The sequence below is a fragment of the Homo sapiens genome, chromosome 1 (assembly GCF_000001405.40).
Source record: "Homo sapiens chromosome 1, GRCh38.p14 Primary Assembly".
Classification (NCBI taxonomy): Eukaryota; Metazoa; Chordata; class Mammalia; order Primates; family Hominidae; genus Homo; species Homo sapiens.
In genome coordinates this window covers 74,243,730-74,261,527 of record NC_000001.11, presented here as the reverse complement: position 1 = coordinate 74,261,527, position 17,798 = coordinate 74,243,730, and the positions used below count along the sequence as shown (strand labels likewise).

The 17,798-nt window shown below is 38.3% G+C and overlaps 2 protein-coding genes across 3 annotated transcripts in view, besides 1 other annotated feature; both read right to left on the bottom strand.

Annotated features, from left to right (window-relative positions):
- Positions 1-17,798, bottom strand: part of FPGT-TNNI3K (FPGT-TNNI3K readthrough) — a 346,187-nt gene that overhangs the window by 282,901 nt on the left and 45,488 nt on the right. For both annotated transcript variants that reach the window (NM_001112808.3, NM_001199327.2), the window contains exons 5-6: positions 11,984-12,069; positions 10,759-10,856 (exon numbers count right to left, since the gene is read on the bottom strand). In NM_001112808.3, the coding sequence (NP_001106279.3) occupies positions 10,759-10,856; positions 11,984-12,069 (184 nt within the window). The remainder of the gene's footprint in view (positions 1-10,758; positions 10,857-11,983; positions 12,070-17,798) is intronic.
- TNNI3K (TNNI3 interacting kinase) overlaps positions 1-17,798 on the bottom strand; it is a 309,042-nt gene that overhangs the window by 282,901 nt on the left and 8,343 nt on the right. The window contains exons 3-4 of the mRNA NM_015978.3: positions 11,984-12,069; positions 10,759-10,856 (exon numbers count right to left, since the gene is read on the bottom strand). Coding sequence (NP_057062.1) covers positions 10,759-10,856; positions 11,984-12,069 — 184 coding nt within the window. The remainder of the gene's footprint in view (positions 1-10,758; positions 10,857-11,983; positions 12,070-17,798) is intronic.
- Positions 15,663-16,314: an enhancer, noted in NCBI's record as "OCT4-NANOG hESC enhancer chr1:74710898-74711549 (GRCh37/hg19 assembly coordinates)". NCBI's record gives its function as "activates a minimal SCP1, AML or CMV promoter by ChIP-STARR-seq in naive H9 embryonic stem cells {active_cell/tissue: H9 hESC(naive)}" and the evidence as "EXISTENCE:reporter gene assay evidence [ECO:0000049][PMID:30033119]".

The window sequence follows — 17,798 nt, the reverse complement described above, 5'->3', positions numbered from 1 at the left end:
GAGGGATATAAATGTGACAGGAATCTTGTAATAAAATTCATTAGGGTACAAAAAGAATTAGAAAATCTGCTTATATACATTTATATATAAAGATAAATGAAGTTTCATTCATGTTTAACATGTAAATTTACACTGGCGGCTTCAGTTCATATATCAGCTAGTCATATGTCACATATAGTACCCAAAGTATAATATATACTTAAAATTCTACATGGGAAAGGACTGAGAGCTGCCTCTCACTCTTTTTTTTTTCTTAGCTTTTAGTTATTGGGGATGTGCTGTAGCTTATGTGAGCCAAAGTAAGTGGGATTATAAATTTTAATATCAAATTTTAACTGAATAGACACTTCAACTGAATAGACGAAATTGGCAGGTATCTTTAAAAGAGTCCTGTGAAGAAAATACACAACATATATATTACTAAGGTAAGAAGCAGCAAAGAAAAAGCTGGTACTTTTTTCTACCAATCTGAGCTTCATATAAATCAATTTCCTAATCTAATCATATTTGTAATAAACTTGTCAAAATATTTTATATTATCAAAAAGGCTATTTGAAATATAAATGTATAGCTACAAACTTTAACACTGGTTGTTTTCCAAAGAGTAGATTTTGTCTTAAGCTATTAACTGATGGGTTTTTTTGTTAATGTATATAATTTATGAACACATATATGTGTTTGGGAGTGCTAATTTTATAGAGGACGTGATAAAAGATGTTTGTAGTCCATTGATCTAAGTATAGATGCCATTTCTTTTATATTGTTAGGATTACCTTTTCTCATCTCTTTAGAATGTAATAATCCAGAAAATCCAATCCATTTCTTTTAATTTTTCTATGCAAAATGAAAAACATGTTAGTTTCCAATAAATGTTTGTCAAAGTTAGAGTTCAACAACAATAATGGTTAATTTTTATTAAGTATTAACTATATGCTAGGTATTTTGCTAAGTACTGCATATGATTTGTTTCCTTAAAACTCTAAACTACACAATAAAATAGATAATTCTATCTGCTTCATTTTAGAGGTTAGAAAATTGAGGAGCATAAGGAAAACTCAATTTGCCTAAATATGCATAATTAGCAAGTCTCATAACTGAGATATGAACAGAAGTATTCTAGCTTCTAAGCTGACAGTCTTTCTTAAGCTACATAATATCAACAAATGTCAAGTATTGTTCTAATGTTTGGACACTCACTAATTTCCAAACAAGTATTTCTCAAGGATCCTTTACAGGTCACATATACTGAGGAATCAAAGAAAAAGACTTAGTCCCAGTGTCCAAAGTTCACAGACCAACATTTGAAATATGCAAATAAATAAATAATTATAAGTGCTACAATAAAAGATAATGTAAACTTAATAACTGAAACCCAAAAGAGAGTGCAATAATTTCTGTCTGCGAGTTCAATAAAACTCAGTTTATCTTGGTTTTAAATAAGTAATAATTTTGCATCAGGAAAAGAAATTAAAAAATATTTAAGCAGAAGAAATTATAAAAACAAAAATAAAGACATGTGGAACTGTTTGGCCTAAAAAATGGAGTTATCTAAAATGGCAATCTTCAAACTTTAATCTACAAATACATCAGCTGAGATTTTTTTAAAAATGTACATTCTGGTTGTGATGCTTAATTTTAGGTGCCAACTTGACTGGGTTAAGGGATGCCTAGTTAGCTAGTAAAACATTATTTCTGGGTGTCTGTGAGGGTATTTCCAGAAGGCATTAGTTTTTTGTTTGTTTGTTTGTTTGTTTTTGAGACAGGGTCTTGCTCTATTGCCCAGCTGGAGTACAGTGGCACAATCTTAGCTCAATGCAATCTCCACCTCCTGACTTCAAGTGATTCTCCCACCTTAGCCTCCCAAGTAGCTGGGACTATAGGCGCACACCACCACATATGGCTAATTTTTGTATTTTTAGTAGAGACAAGGTTTCACCCTGTTAGTTTCAAACTCCGGAGCTCAAGTGATCCACCTGCCTCAGCCTCCCAAAGTGATGGGATTACAGGCATGAGCCACTATGCCCTGCCAGCATTTTCATTAGTAGACTGAAAAAGAAGATCACCCTCACCAATATGGGTGGGCATCATCTAATCTTTGGAAGGCCTGAATAGAACTAAAAGGTAGAGGGAAGGTGAATTTGTTTTTATTTCAGCTGAGACATCCATATTCTGCCCTCAGACATCACTGATCCTCGTTCTTGGGCCTTTAGACTCAGAATAGGATTTACACCATAGGCTCCCCTGGTTCTCAAGTCTTTGGACATGGACCAAATCATACTATCAGCTTTCCTGATTCTCCAGCTTATAGACGGAAGATCGTGGGACTTTTGGGCTCCATAATAGTGTGAGCCAGTTCCTATAATAAATATGTCTCTAGATTAGATAGATAGATAGATAGATAGATCCATTAATCCTATTGGTTAAATTTCTCTAGAAACGCCTGAATAGTACTGGTTGAATAGGGCTGGAAAGGAAATGAGAGCAGCATTTCTGAAATCTTTTAGTTGGGGTGGATGCTACTGATCATGTGACCATAATTTGAGTTGCCACGCTTGAACAGTAATCCACAATATGTAGACCTAGATTGTTTACATCAAAATTCCTAGGTTGTTTGTTAAAAATTTAGATTCCTAGAATACCCTAGATGTACCAATTTAAATGAGAGTAAAGTAGAAAGGGAAATATTCATTTTAAACGTATGTTACTATATGATCCTCATGCACATTACATTGAAAACCATTAGGGTTGAACAGGCAGAGACTACAGGAAAAGAGTATGGAAAGTGATTCCAGAAAAGTTATAAATTAAGGGATCTTGAGTCTCATATTTAGGAGTTTGAATGTCATTATATAGGCAATGGATGACAATAGTAAGTGTTAAAGTGAGCAATGATATCATAGATTTTTGTTTCATTCTGATCATTTTGGAAGCAATGCAAAAGTAGATATGGGCATGACAGAACAACTTATATAGACTTTCTCTACTGGCAAATAAAATCTACAAAATGGAACAAAATATATGACATAACTGTTCTCAAGCACTGAAGAGCATGAGCAAACAGCTGTGTCCTTTAAGAGAAAGATATAAAGCAAGTCACACAATATCCCATGATTGCCATGGTTTTCTGCCTGAAATACTTTTCTGCCACAAAGCATAATAGGAAGTCTCACTGAGTTAAGAGTGTAAATGAGAGTTCTGATATTATGAAGGGGCTGTATTTGTGGAGCAGGGTAACCGAGAAGAAGAAGCTGCACAGAGAGGGCACTGCAGAAATCTGCATGGAGATCCATTATGTATTGTTGAGCTGGGCTGCACAAGCACAGAGAAAGATTCTGGAAGATCTAGAAAAGATCACCTGATTTATTGCTAAAAGGTGAATGGTGGTGATACTGGAGGTCATGTAGTACGGGGGGATTTTGGAACTCCTGTCAGCTGGTATGAAGAGACTTTACTGAGAGACTTGGGAATTCAGGTGACATGCCAAAAAATCATACTTTAGGAGTAAGCACCATGTTCAGGTGTGAGAGCCACATGCTAGGAATAAGAGGTATGCCGAGAGGCGGCCGGGCACGGTGGCTCACGCCTGTAATCCCAGCACTTTAGGAGGACGAGGTGGGCGGATCACAAGGTCAGGAGATCGAGACCATCCTGGCTAACATGGTGAAACCCCGTCTCTACTAAAAATACAAAAAATTAGCCGGGCGTGGTGGCGGGCGCCTGTAGCCCCAGCTACTCCGGAGGCTGAGGCAGAAGAATGGCTTGAACCGGGAGGCGGAGCTTGCAGTGAGCCAAGATCGCACCACTGCACTCCAGCCTGGGTGACAGAGCGAGACTCCGCCTCAAAAAAAAAAAAAAAAAAAAAAAGAGGTAAGCCAAGAGGCTAAGTTCAAACTGAAATACCTTCAGCCTAACAAAAAATCAAATCAAGACTGATTTGATTGAAATGTATCCACCAGAAGTGTAACTACCCGCCAAAAATGAAAGAAAAACAAACATAAAAAAAACTCAACATTCTTTAAAGGAAGATGACATGATAAAGATTTCCTATAACACATAATACATAATTTCTAGCTTTCAATAAAAAATTAATTGATATATGAAGAAACAGAAAAATGTGCCCTGTAGTCAACATGAAATAGAAACAAATACTGAGCTAATCTAGATGTTGAAAACAGCAGATTGGACATTTAAAGTAGTCACAAATAATAGGTTCAAAACCTTGAAGGAAAATATGGAAAAATGAAATAACAGATGTGTCATCATAGCAGAGAAATTGAAATTATATCTTAATTAATCTTAATAAATAAAAATCCTAGAACGGAAAAGTAAACAACCAAAATGAATAATTCACTGGTGGATTGTTATCAGATGGGAGATGGCAGAGAAGTGGTTTGTGAACTTGAATTCAAATAAGTAGAAATAATCTAATTTGGAGAACAGAAAGAAAGAAGAAGGAAGAAAAAAAGCAGACTCAGTGATATGTGGAAAATTATCAAACAATCTAACATATGTATTTGAAAAACTAATGGTCAAAATTTCTGAATTTGATGAAACCATAAATTTACAGATATAAAAACTCAGTGAATCTCAAAGAGTTTTAAATACAGAAAACCATATGTAGGATTATTATAATCAAACTTCCGAAAAGCATATTTTCTCTCTTATTAATTTCTTTAAAAGATATAAATGTTTAACACAAAAATTCTAATAATATATTTAGGTTCTTATCATGTATAGATGCAATGTATATGGCAACAATGGCACAAAGAATGAAGATAAAATGAAACTATACTACTGGAAGGTTCTTATATTTTAAGTGAAGTAGATCAACATTTGCAGGGAGTGGACTATGAAATGTTGAGAATCTATAACTGTATGGTAATCACTACAGTCATAAGTTTAAAAATAATGCAAAAACCTTTTACTCTTCAAATGACACTGTTATGAAAATGAAAAGGCAAGTCAGACACTGAGAGAAATTTTTGCAAAAGTATATTCAAGAAAAGAATTGTATTAGAATAGATAAAGTTCCCTCACAATTCAAGAAAATAATAAACAAAATTACAAATGGCAAAAAGATTTAACAGACACTACATTAAAAAATAAAGGATGCCTAATAAGCACATAAAAACCTATTCAACCTCTTTAGTCTTCAGGGAAATGCAAATTAAAATTATAATGAAATACTAAAATTCATCCAATAGAATAGCCAAAAAAAAAAAAAAAAAAAAAAAAAAAAAAAAAGACTGACCACACCAAGTGCCGGAAAGGATGTGAAAAAACTACAGCTCTCATACCTTGCTGATGGGAATGTAGGAAGGAATTGCTAGTTTGTTAAAAAGTTTGTTAGTTTCTCATAAAATTAAGCATATACTTATTATGTGACTCAGCAATTCCACTTTTAGGTATTTCCCAGGAGAAATAAAAACATATGTTCAAACAAATACCTGTATGTGAGTGTTCAGAACAGCTTTGTTTATAATGGTCAAAATCTGGGAAAATGTCCATCAGCAGGTAAATGGTAAATTGTGGTATATCCATATAAGGGAATACAATTCTACAAGAAAAGCATTAATTACAGAATATACAACATGGGTGAATCCCAATAGCCTTATGATAAGTGCAAGAAACCATATAGAAAAGAAAACATACTGGATGTAATAAATTTATTTAAAATTCTAGAAAAGAGAAAACTATAGTGACAGAAAACACTTGTTTCCAGAGACCAGGTGAGAAGGAGACTGACTGCAAAATGGCATGAGGGAACTTTTTGGTATAGTAGAAATGTCCTATAACATGACTGTGATGATGGTTACATGATTACATACATTTTCAAAAGCTAACAATTGTAGACTTAAAATTGATAATTGTATTTGGTATATATTAAACCTCAATAAAACTAAACACTGTGAAAAACTCAACAAACTAAAACAAAAAGATGTATGAGGATTAATCATTCATGTGGTATTAAATAGCTAAATATCTGCTTCACTTTTATTAATGAAAGCAGAGATTACTCTATTGATTAGAAAATATACAGTCATGATGTCAGAGGCGTTCGAACCAGAGTGAACAACTCCATTTTGAGTGAGGGCTAGGAAAATAGGAAAATGAGGCTGAGACTTACGGGGTTACATTCTCAGAAAGTTAGGCATTTTTTTTTTTTTTTTTTTTGAGACGGAGTCTCGCTCTGTCGCCCAGGCTGGAGTGCAGTGGCGGGATCTCGGCTCACTGCAAGCTCCGCCTCCCGGGTTCACGCCATTCTCCCGCCTCAGCCTCCCAAGTAGCTGGGACTACAGGCGCCCGCCACTACGCCCGGCTAATTTTTTGTATTTTTAGTAGAGACGGGGTTTCACCATTTTAGCCGGGATGGTCTCGATCTCCTGACCTCGTGATCCGCCCGCCTCGGCCTCCCAAAAGTTAGGCATTTTTAACCTCTAGATGTTTACAGTTAAAGAACAAGTTCATAATGTTTACTGAACAGACCCAGACTTGGGAGTGTCCAGATATCCTGATATCTGTAGAACAAAGGCATTCCTAATTTTGCTTTAAAGATAATAATATCGATTCTTGCAAAATATAGCAATTAAGAAAATTAATATGTTATCACAAACCCTTGCAGCAGAACACATCTCCCCATGTATATGAGCATTGTACCTAGGGTGGATGTGCTCCTCCTCTTACTTTCAGGAACATCCTACCCTGTCTATGGAGTAGCTGTCCTTTCACCACTTTACTTTCATAATAAACTTGCTTTTACTTTGCACTGTGGACTCGCCCTGAATTCTTTCTTGCGCGAGATCCAAGAACCCTCTCCTGAGGCCTGGATCGGGACCCCTTTCCTCTAACAATGAGTCAGGCCCAGCATGCCAGGGTGTATAATTGAAAGAGCTATTTGATGTAGTGAACAAAAGGATGGGAGAGTTACATTATTCATTTTGTGAGTGTTATGAACAAAATAAAATTCGATTGCAATACCAAAAAAATTCAAAGAAATATGTATAAATAACTGGTATGCATGAAAAATATTAAGATAAAAAAATACAAGGATCGGGTGAGAAATTCTTTCAGAGTAAGGGAGATTACAGAAATAAGAAAACTGAAAATGCATGATTGTGGATTGAATCCTATCCTGGACAAGAAAATATAATCTATAAATGACACAATTGGGACAATTGATAAAACTTGAATTTGAACTATAGATTATCATATCTTATCAATGTTAATATCATCTCAATGTTCTTTTTAATTTTATAATTGCATTGGAGTTATGTAAGTGAATTTTCTTGTTCTTAGGAAATGAAGACTGAAGTGGCAACAGGGCATGTTTTATACAATTTACTGTCAAATGGTTCTAAAAAAAAATAATGGAAATGGGACAAAATGCAAACAGTTAATGAACCTGGATAAGCAGTTTCTTGTACTATTCTTGCAATTGTCTTTGTAAGTTTGAAATAATATTAAAATTAAACAGTTATTAATACTATATGGGGGAAGGGAACTGGAGCCCAAAATGAATTATATACTTACTGGAGTAGTTCTGTCAAGGGATAATTAGAAGTAGGTTTAATGCATTTAATGGTTACTAGGTTTAATGCCTGGTAGTGTGAACAACTAAGAGGTGACAGCGTGCTGGCAGCTCTTGCAGCCCTCGCTCGCTCTTGGTGCCTTCTCGGCCTTGGCGCCCACTCTGGCTGCACTTGAGGAGCCCTTCAGCCCGCTGCTGCACTGTGGGAGCCCCTTCCTGGGATGGCCGAGGCTGGAGCTGGCTCCCTCGGCCTGCGGGGAGGTGTGGAGGGAGAGGCACGGGCAGGAACTGGGGCCGCACGGCGGGGCTTGCGGCCCAGCTAGAGTTCTGGGTGGGCGTGGGCGTGGGCTTGGCGGGCCCGCACTCCGAGCGGCCGGCCAGTCCTGCCGGCTCCGGGCAGTGAGGGGATTAGCACCCGGGCCAGCAGCTGCGGAGGGTGCTCCGGGTCCCCCAGCAGTGCCGGCCCACTGGCGCTGTGCTCCATTTCTCAGCAGGCCATAGCTGCCTCCCCGTGCGGCAGGGCTCAGGACCTGCAGCCCGCCATGCCTGAGCTTCCCCCCGACCCCCTGCCATGGGCTCTTGCATGGCCGAGCTTACCCAAAGCGTGCTGCCCCCTGCTCCACAGTGCCCCATCCCATTGACTGCCCAAGGGCTGAGGAGTGCAGGCACATGGCGTGGGACTGGCAGGCAGCTCCACCTGCGGCCCCTGTGCGGGATCCACTGGGTGAAGCCAGCTGGGCTCCTGAGTCTAGTGGGGACTTGGAGAAACTTTGTGTCTAGCTGAGGGATTGTAAATATGCCAATCAGCACTCTGTATCTAGCTCAACGTTTGTAAACACACCATCAGCACCCTGTGTCTAGCTCAGGGTTTGTGGATGCACCAATTGGCACTCTGTATCTAGCTAATCTAGTGGGGATGTGGAGAACTTTTGTGTCTAGCTCAGGGATTGTAAATGCACCAATCAGCACCTTGTCAAAATGGACCAATCAGCTCTCTGTAAAACGGACCAATCAGCTCTCTGTAAAATGGACCAGTCAGCAGGATGTGGGTGGGGGCCAGATAAGAGAATAAAAGCAGGCTGCCTGAACAAGCAGTGGCAACCCACTCGGGTGCCCCTCCACACTTTGGAAGCTTTGTTGTTCAGCTCTTTGCAATAAATCTTGCTACTGCTCACTCTTTGGGTCCACACTGCCTTTATGAGCTGTAACACTCACCGCGAAGGTCTGCAGCTTCACTCCTGAAGCCAGCGAGACCACGAACCCACGGGGAGGAATGAACAACTCCAGACGTGCCGCCTTAAGAGCTGTAACACTCACTGCGAGGGTCTGCAGCTTCACTCCATAGCCAGCGAGACCACGAACCCACCAGAAAGAAGAAACTCCAAACACATCCAAACATCAGAAGGAACAAACTCTGGACATGCCGCCTTTAAGAACTGTAATACTCACCGCGAGGGTCCCTGGCTTCATTCTTGAAGTGAGTGAGACCAAGAATCCACCAATTCTGGACACACAACTACTTTATATTATTTTTGTGTTTAAAATGAAATAGTAACTTTAATTTGTTTTTCACTTTTGTTAAGAAATTTGCAAAATAACTATGCATTTTCTTATGGCCTTTTAATATTTTTGCCTGCTTTGTTTCCCAAGAATCTAAATTTTCATTTAAACTTGCTATGAAAAAGTTATAGTTTATGCACCCTTCTCTAAAATAGAAAAAAACATAAAAATAGAGCAAAGAAAACTCTAAAAGTGGAAATTTAATTATTATAAACAGAGGTTGAAGAAATATATTCTCTAAATATTGTAGGACTAAATGATTCAGAACCCATTTGTGTGCCAATGTCATGCTAAATCTTTGCAAAATGAACTAATACAGAAAAAATCTCCCAGACGGTGAGGTTCAGAATTCATGGTTTCATACAGTGCCATGACTATCATTCACTACCTTCCTGTTCCTTGGAGCTCTTCTACTTTCACCTCCTGCCTTTCAGAAGAAAAGTCAACATCAGATGCTGTTTTCTACACTGGAAACTCAGAATGTTTCATAGTTTAGCAGGATAATTAACAGGTACTAAAGACAATTTAGCACTTAACTGAGGCTTTCTCCCAGAAGGAATTAGAAGAATTGACTAGGCATTGACTGGGCATGAAAAGAGATGAAACTTTAGAGTATTTGCGCTATGAATTACAGGAATTTGTGATGCTAGATCATGGGAAAATAAGGTCCTCTTCCCTCCCAATGACAAACTCTCTAGCAGTTGGGGGAGGGAGATAGTGCAGGGGGTTCCTAATACAAGCAAAAAGTTGTCCCTCCTCCCACACGTGCACACACAAAACTGAAATAAAATTCTGTCACAGACTCGCTTGAAAATGAGAAAGAACAAAATACGCAATATACAAATAAGATTCTGGGAGTAATGAGCCAACTGTACTTGACTTTAATCACTATTCTAATATTGTCCAGGTATCTACTTTAGTCTTTAATTGCATTTTCTGTAAAGTAAATCCTAATATGCAGTTATTTTAATGACTAAAATACATTAAACTTAGTATGATATTTAGCTCATAATAAATACAAAGTAGAAATTGTTATTATAATTATAAAATGATCAATGCATAATATAATTTGTATGTTTTATAAATTTATATTTATGAAAATCTCAAGGTTCAATTCCAACACTAAGTATCCCAGTTTGTCCAATCCACTATTATATTTATTATTCTATCAGGTGCTGAGATTAGGTTGGAGCCAGGGGCTAATATAAGAAAATAAACAGCTAAAGCAAAAAGGTTTTTTAAGAAAAATTTGCAGTAAAGAAATACAGCTTCAGTGTGCTTCTTTTGTCTTTAAATACAACCTCATCTCTCTCTGCACAGAGGCATCATGGTGTTCTGATGAGGAGCTTTGGCAACAGAACTAGACTGCCTTGTCTTAAATCCTGGCTAACCCCTGGCTAACCATGTAACCTTGGGGATAATAATCATATTCACTCATGGGGTTCTTGTGAGAATTAAATGAGTTAAATACAGAAAGCATTAAAAAGAGTATGTGTCTAGTATGCAGCAGGTATCTGCTCAATAAAGAGAAAGAAGTCCTTTAGTAATGTAACGCCTCTGGTCACTGAAAATTTTCCATGATTACTAATTTGAAAAAAAAAAAAAAAAGCCTAAAGATACACACTATCCTTAGTTCCAATGCAGTGTTTATGGGAATTAAAGTGTCCTACCTTGTAAACTGCTAAATGCAAGGCTGTAAATCCATTTCTTGTCAGTCGAGATGGGCGGAGCCCTTTCAACATAAGAGTTCGAATATGTGATTTCTTGCCTTAAAGAGAAAAATGAAAAAAGGCTAAATCATTGTGGGGATGGGGTGAGTTTGAGACTCTTTTTGACCTAATGATAAATGCCATACAGCTGTATAAAAATGTCAAGCTGCGTTCTGCAGGCCATTTGTAAAGTTTTCTATTAATTGACAACCTTACTTACTAGGGGATATTTCTTTTCCATTTATAAAACTTTATTCAAATGCTGTGTATTTTGACTCTGTCTTAGATTTTTTATTTAGTACCCTCATCATCAGATGGTTTTGAAACATAAACACATAAGAGAATTCACCATAATAAACTATTAGTGAAAAAGCTTAAATTAAAAAATCTAATTGTAGAGGATTTATCTGAACATTATTAACAGTAGAGCTTATTTAGATCAAAGAAATATGAAGGATATAACCAAGGTTGGGAAGGCACGTTTGAAGTTGAGAGAACAATCTGTTAAGCAGAGTCTGTTTGGTTTGTTTGGGAGAAATGGTTAAGGAATATGGTTAGAGTTGACACTTACACATTTCTGTTCCATTTTAAGAAGTTAAGCTCAATGAATTTAGTTTGGATTAACAAAATAAATATTAATGGTTCATTCATTAATTCAATAACTTTACTGAGTGGCTATTACAGGCCAGGCACCATTCAAATTACTTGAGATACATTGATAAACAAAACAAACTAAAGTGTAGGCCAAATTAAACTCTTAATCTTCACTTCGATCAATCTTCACTTTTAGATCTTATCTTTGGCATTTATCACTTTTCCACATACTCTTGTTGAATATTGTGAAGCAACTGCTTGATGATATTTTGGGGAATCTTTAAGTGCTTCTGAATTTAAGTTAATCCCTGACTGGCATGCCCAATATTGAAAAGTGCTTTTTGATTTCCAAGCAAACTGAGGGACTTGGTTTCCGGTAGCAACACAATGAAGCTTATATTTAAAGCTAAATCAATTGGAATATTCTGCCTGATAGTTACTGCCTAAACTGAGATTATCAAGGTTGGAAAAGGCAAAGCAGAAGGGAAAATTGAGTATGAATAGAATTCTTTTGCAGACTATTAAGCAGCTCAAGTCACTGACGATATACACATATAACCAGTTTAAGAAGTACTAAGTTTCAAGTACTCACCTCCACAAATGCAACATAAATGAAGTAGAGACAGCCCATTTTCAGTGCGGTAATTTAAATTGACTTTACTGAAGGCTTCATCAGAGCTGAAAAAAACATGTTACAGATGATCACAAAATTCATCTTTTAGCATATTGTCTTTCATTTGAAAATTATAAATGCAAATCCTGTTACTATCAATTCAGAAATGTATTTTTTCTAAGATTATTTTGCACTTACAGAAAGAATCTTGAACCCTCTATATGAAGAATTAAAATTGAGAGGAAATTCTGTAGTTTTACATTGTAATGATGTCACCAGAAATAACACTATGATTCCAATAGTTGCTCCAGAATCACTGACAGCTACTAGATGTCACAATAGCGAATTTAGTGGCACTTTTTAAAGACAAGTAAAACCAAGGTCAGACATCATCTAGGAACCTGAGAGTCACTGTTAGTAGGGAATACTTACATAATACATATATAAAATTGATTATTATGTAAATCAGGAAATCAGAAATCAGAAAATTGTTGTCAAATATAAAAGGCCAAGAAAAGTCAAATATGGCATGAAATTATAGGGGCCAAGAAAGACCTTCCCCTTTGCCTCTCTGAAGGTTTGCTGAAATCAACTGACAAAAGGGACATTAATAGAAGAAAAGGCATAAAATATATTTGATCATAGTTTTAAAAGGCACAAGAGATACAAGACATAAGAGCCTTCAGAATGAAGACTCAAAGATACAGGAATAACTCTGTAAGTTCTAGTTTCTATGACCTGCCTTGAGGGGAGAGGGATTCTAGTCTCTATGGCTACCCTCTGGGGAAAATGAGGGGCCAGAGACAAGAGGACAGGAGAAGGTCAGAGAGAAAGTTTGGCTTCTAAGGCTGCTTGTAAGGCCTTCATTTTGAGGTGTAATTTTCTAAGCCTCAACAAAAATGATGCTAAAATTATCCCAAGAGTTATACTTCAAAAAGAAAGTTGTATATTCACAGTGAAGTTGGCAATGGTAACAACAGTGCAATAATCATTTTTTGATTGCATATCACATGCCAGATACTGTAGTAAGCGCTTAATCTTACTTATTCCTCACCACAGTGAGAGGTGACAACGTGCTAGCAGCCCTCGCTCGCTCTCGGCACCTCCTCAGGCCACGGTGCCAACTCTGGCTGCACTTGAGGAGCCCTTCAGCCTGACACTGCACTGTGGGAGCCCCTCTCTGGACTGGCCGAGGCCAGAGCCGGCTCCCTCTGCTTGTGGGGAGGTGTGGAGGGAGTGGAGTGGGCAGGAACTGGGGCTGTGCACAGTGCTCGCAGGCCAGCGTGAGTTCTGGGTGGGCGTGGGCTTAGTGGGTCCTACACTCTGCGCCGCAGGCTGGTGCCACCAGCCCTGGGCAGTGAGAGGCTTAGCACCTGGGCCAGAAGCTGCAGAGGGTGCACCGGGTCCCCCAGCACTGCCAGCCCACCTGCGCTGCACTTGAATTCTTGCCAGGCCTCAGCTGCCTCCCCATGGGGCAGGGCTCAGGACCTGCAGCCCGCCATGCCCAAGGCCCCTCCACCCCCCTACCCCCGTGGGCTCCCAGGCAACCTGAGCCACCCCGACGGGCACCACCCCCTGCTCCACGGTGCCCAGTCCCATCCACCACCCAAGGGCTGAGGAGTGCAGGCACGCAGCGTGGGACTGGCAGGCGGCTCCGCCTGCGGCCCCTGCGTGGGATCTACTAGGCAAAGTCAGCTGGGCTCCTGAGTTGGGTGGGGACTTGGAGAACTTTTATGTCTAGCTGGAGGATTGTAAATGCACCAATCAGCACTCTGTGTCTGTCTTGGGGTTTGTGGATGCACCAATCAGCACTCTGTATCTAGCTAATCTGGTGGGGACTTGGAGAACTTTTATGTCTAGCTAGAGGATTGTAAATGCACCAATCAGCACTCTGTGTCTAGCTCAGGGATTGTAAATGCACCAATCAGTACCCTGTCAAAACGGACCAATCAGCTCTCTGTAAAACGGACCAATCAGCAGGATGTGGGTGGGGCCAAATAAGGGAATAAAAGCAGGCTGCCCCAGCCACCATCGGCAACTTGCTTGTGTCCCCTTTCATACCGTGGGAGCTTTGTTCTTTCGCTTTTTGCAATAAATCTTGCTGCTTCTCACTCTTTGGGTCCGCACTGCCTTTATAAGCTGTAACACTCACCATGAAGGCCTGCAGCTTCACTCCTGAAGCCAGCAAGATCACAAACCCACTGGGAGGAATGAACAACTCCGGACGGGAGGAACAAACAACTCCAGATGCGCCGCGGTAAGAGCTGTAACACTCACTGCGAAGGTCGGCGGCTTCACTCCTGAAGCCAGCAGACCACAAACCCACCAGAAGGAAGAAACTCGGAACACGTCCAAACATCAGAAGGAACAAACCCCGGACACACCATCTTTAAGAACTGAACACTCACTGCGAGGGTCCGCGGCTTCATTCTTGAAGTCAGTGAGACCAAGAACCCACCAATTCCGGACACAACAGGACAAAGTCATGCATATTGTCACATATATTATTTTACTCATTTTATAATTGAAGAAATTGAAGCTTAAATAGGTTAAATAACTTGCCCAAGTTGGAAAAAAAGAACAAACTACTTAAAAGGCAGAGTCATGATAGGATTTGAATCCTGGTATAACTATAAGAATGAGGCTTTCAAGGATTACCACACTGATGAAATGATTTTTTCCACTTTGAAAACAGCAAAACATAACAGGTATTGCTATACAATATTGGACATACATATTGAAAAACTGCATTTTCTCAGGTGTTTATTGCTACAGAAGAGCTCCAAAGCTTTTTCTTCTTTCAGTATTTGCCATTAAGTTCATTATGATTAGCTCAGAAGAATGTGCATCCTTCCCTGTTTTGCTTAGGCTGCTGGTTACATAGTTTTTCTTAGGATCACAAGGCCTCTCTCTCCTCCCCCAGTCCAATACTTTGTTTTTTTTTCTTGTGGTTTTATAGTGTGTTTCATTTGCTGGACAATAGAAAGACCAGGGAAGAAAAGCCGAAGCAGCTCAGAGCTGAATCATTGTCCATCAACATTCTCAGTTTCCAGTCACAGTTTTCATTCCCTTTTTATTTATGGACACTGATTCCCTACAAACTTTAAGAGAAAAATCCAATCTACCTAGCTTGAAAGGCAGAGTTCAGCTCCGCTGAATACCTCTACTATTTGAAGTCATAACCACAAAGAAGACCTCTGTGACCTGTGATTGCATTTCCAAGTGTGTTCCAAGTACCTAGTTTACTTTCTTCCAAGACATCCATAATATATTTGGCTTTGAGGGTTTAAAAGCCAGGCTGGGCCAAAGACCACACATTTCTAAGAATCATGTTATTTTGTGAAGTTACTGCCATACCATAAATAGCTCTATCATTTATAAGTAGGCTCATTTTATTATAAGTAGACATTTAAAACAGTGGCATTTTCATCAGAAATGATTTTGATTGCAGTATTTTTTGAGCTGAGGGAAATTGCTGATAGAAGTGAGTTAAATTCTTAACTATCTTCATGAAATTCTGAACCCCCTTCTTATATTATTAACATTTATAAACACTGGAGTTTATTGTACTTCCACAAAAGGCTTTCCAAAGCAAGTTGAGGTGTGTTTCCCAGTATTAGTAAGCATGTCTATGTGTTTTGCTGCAGGGGAACACAGAAAGCAAGAAGGGTAGGAGGGTAAAAAAAGTTTGGGAATACTGCATTCCCATGGCTGTGAAAATAAACCACAAGGCTTGCCATTTCTAATTAAAGCATTTCACTGAGGTTCTTCAATGACCCTGGATTTAGAGCCTTTCTCTTTTTAGCAGTACCCTGGAGAATAGCACTTTTTCTTTTTCTATTTTAAAATTCCAATAGCTTTTGATGTTCTTAACTGGATGCCTTGATGATAATGTTCTGAATTTATAGTACCTTTCAAGTGTAAGTACTTTACAAGTGATATGAAACTTTGGCTCACTCACCAAATACTATGCTATCTCTCTAAAGCTGCTAGAGATTTAAATAGGCAGGAGGCAGCTTGAAATTGACCTGTGAAGCCAAGGATATGATCTCATTTCTACTGAAAAATGTCCTGGGAGCACCGTGGACCTCAAGAGGTCGAGAATTTTAGCTTTACATTCCTTTTGAAAGGCTACCTGTGGCTCTCAAGGGCCCTCCTGGGGCAATGGTCTTTGTTCAGACAAAGACAAGGATTTCATTAATAGAATCACTCCACTTCTCACCAGGGACTATATCAGAGTACCCTACCAGAGTTTAGACCTTTATCTGTGAAATCTGACCCAGTCAGAGTACAAGAGAACTTTGCTTCAGGCAGAAGTTGTAATACATTGGGATTATATTCTTTTTTCCAATATCTTATCAGATGCTACTTCCCCCCACCTTTCTTTTTGGAAGGATTTTCCTGAATTTCTCCGTAGATATTATGTGAGATTTTGTGTGTGAGTGAAATGAGTTTACTTTCAGATGTCTGTTTTCTATGTATACATAATTTTTATTCATCATGGTGCTCTGAAAAGTTTAAATTATACATAGAACACAGAACTGCACATGAGATTCTCTTATTTAAACTTGATCTCTCGAACTTTTAATATTACTACATTTTCAACAGTGGAGAGACTCAAAGAATGAAAAATGCAAAGGAGGGTAAAAAGTTAAAGTTGAGATGAAAATCACTTTATTTGAGAGGGTAAACTCAATTGCTTTCTTATTCTGTGATCTAAATTTGATGATCCATTCAATAAGTCTGGCACAACACCTGCTAAACACCTACTATACGCCTCACTTCTGCTCTTAAGGCTCACTTCAGGTTGTTTTCAAGAGTCTCCTTGATATAAACTACTCACTAAATCCCGGATCCTTTGAATGCATCAGTCCTGGAAATACACATACTAGATAAAATCCTGAAATTGACTGCTGTGTTCGTCCTGATATCTAATACTCTGATCAGCTTTGCAAAACAAATGAACATGGAATAAACAGAAAATACAAGATGCCAGGGTCCATTGCTTTATTTTTAAAAAAGAAAGGCACTAGATGAATGTTTATCATTTACATAAATAAAATTGAAAGCAAAATTAATGACTCTTTATTCAACAATTGTTCCTCAGCTAACTGAATCTTGAACTAGACTTTACCATCTATAAGTGACTCAGTATAGAGTCCTAAAGAGTTCCTTGCTTTAAACTGAGCCGCTGCTTGTTGCTTTTGTTCTCCTCTTGAATTATATCCTCCTTGAACTCATGCAGCTTCTCTTAATGTCAACAAAATGAATCAACAGAGAATAGACTCCTATAATATTTGGCAGTCAAGTGTGATTTTTAATAGTACAATTTTTAGCTCAACTTTAATAACTGGAATGTACATTTTTAAAATGAGAGTTACTTTGGGGGCTATATTTGAATCCTAATTCTCACTTCCCATTAACTTCTAGTCAAACGTTTCTGTTTTGAAACATGTAATTAAAATATTCAAGATATTTAAGCAATCATTCCTAGGAGAGAAATTCCATTTTCTCTTCTTTTGCCTCTTCTAAAGTAACTGTGTATGTCAAATTCACTGCCAATTGAGCATCACTTATGTATTCTAATACCCTAAGCTCAATTTATTTTTTAATTTCCCCTTACATTTTTCATCACCTGCCATGCCACACTGTAACTTAACATATCCTAAAGAGTTCATAGTGCATGCTGGGGCATGAATGAAGTTCCTAATTAAAATAAAGCCACTATTATGAATATATTTCTAATAGTAAATGCTGTTCTTAATCATTAAAAATGATAGTTCTGTACCCAAAG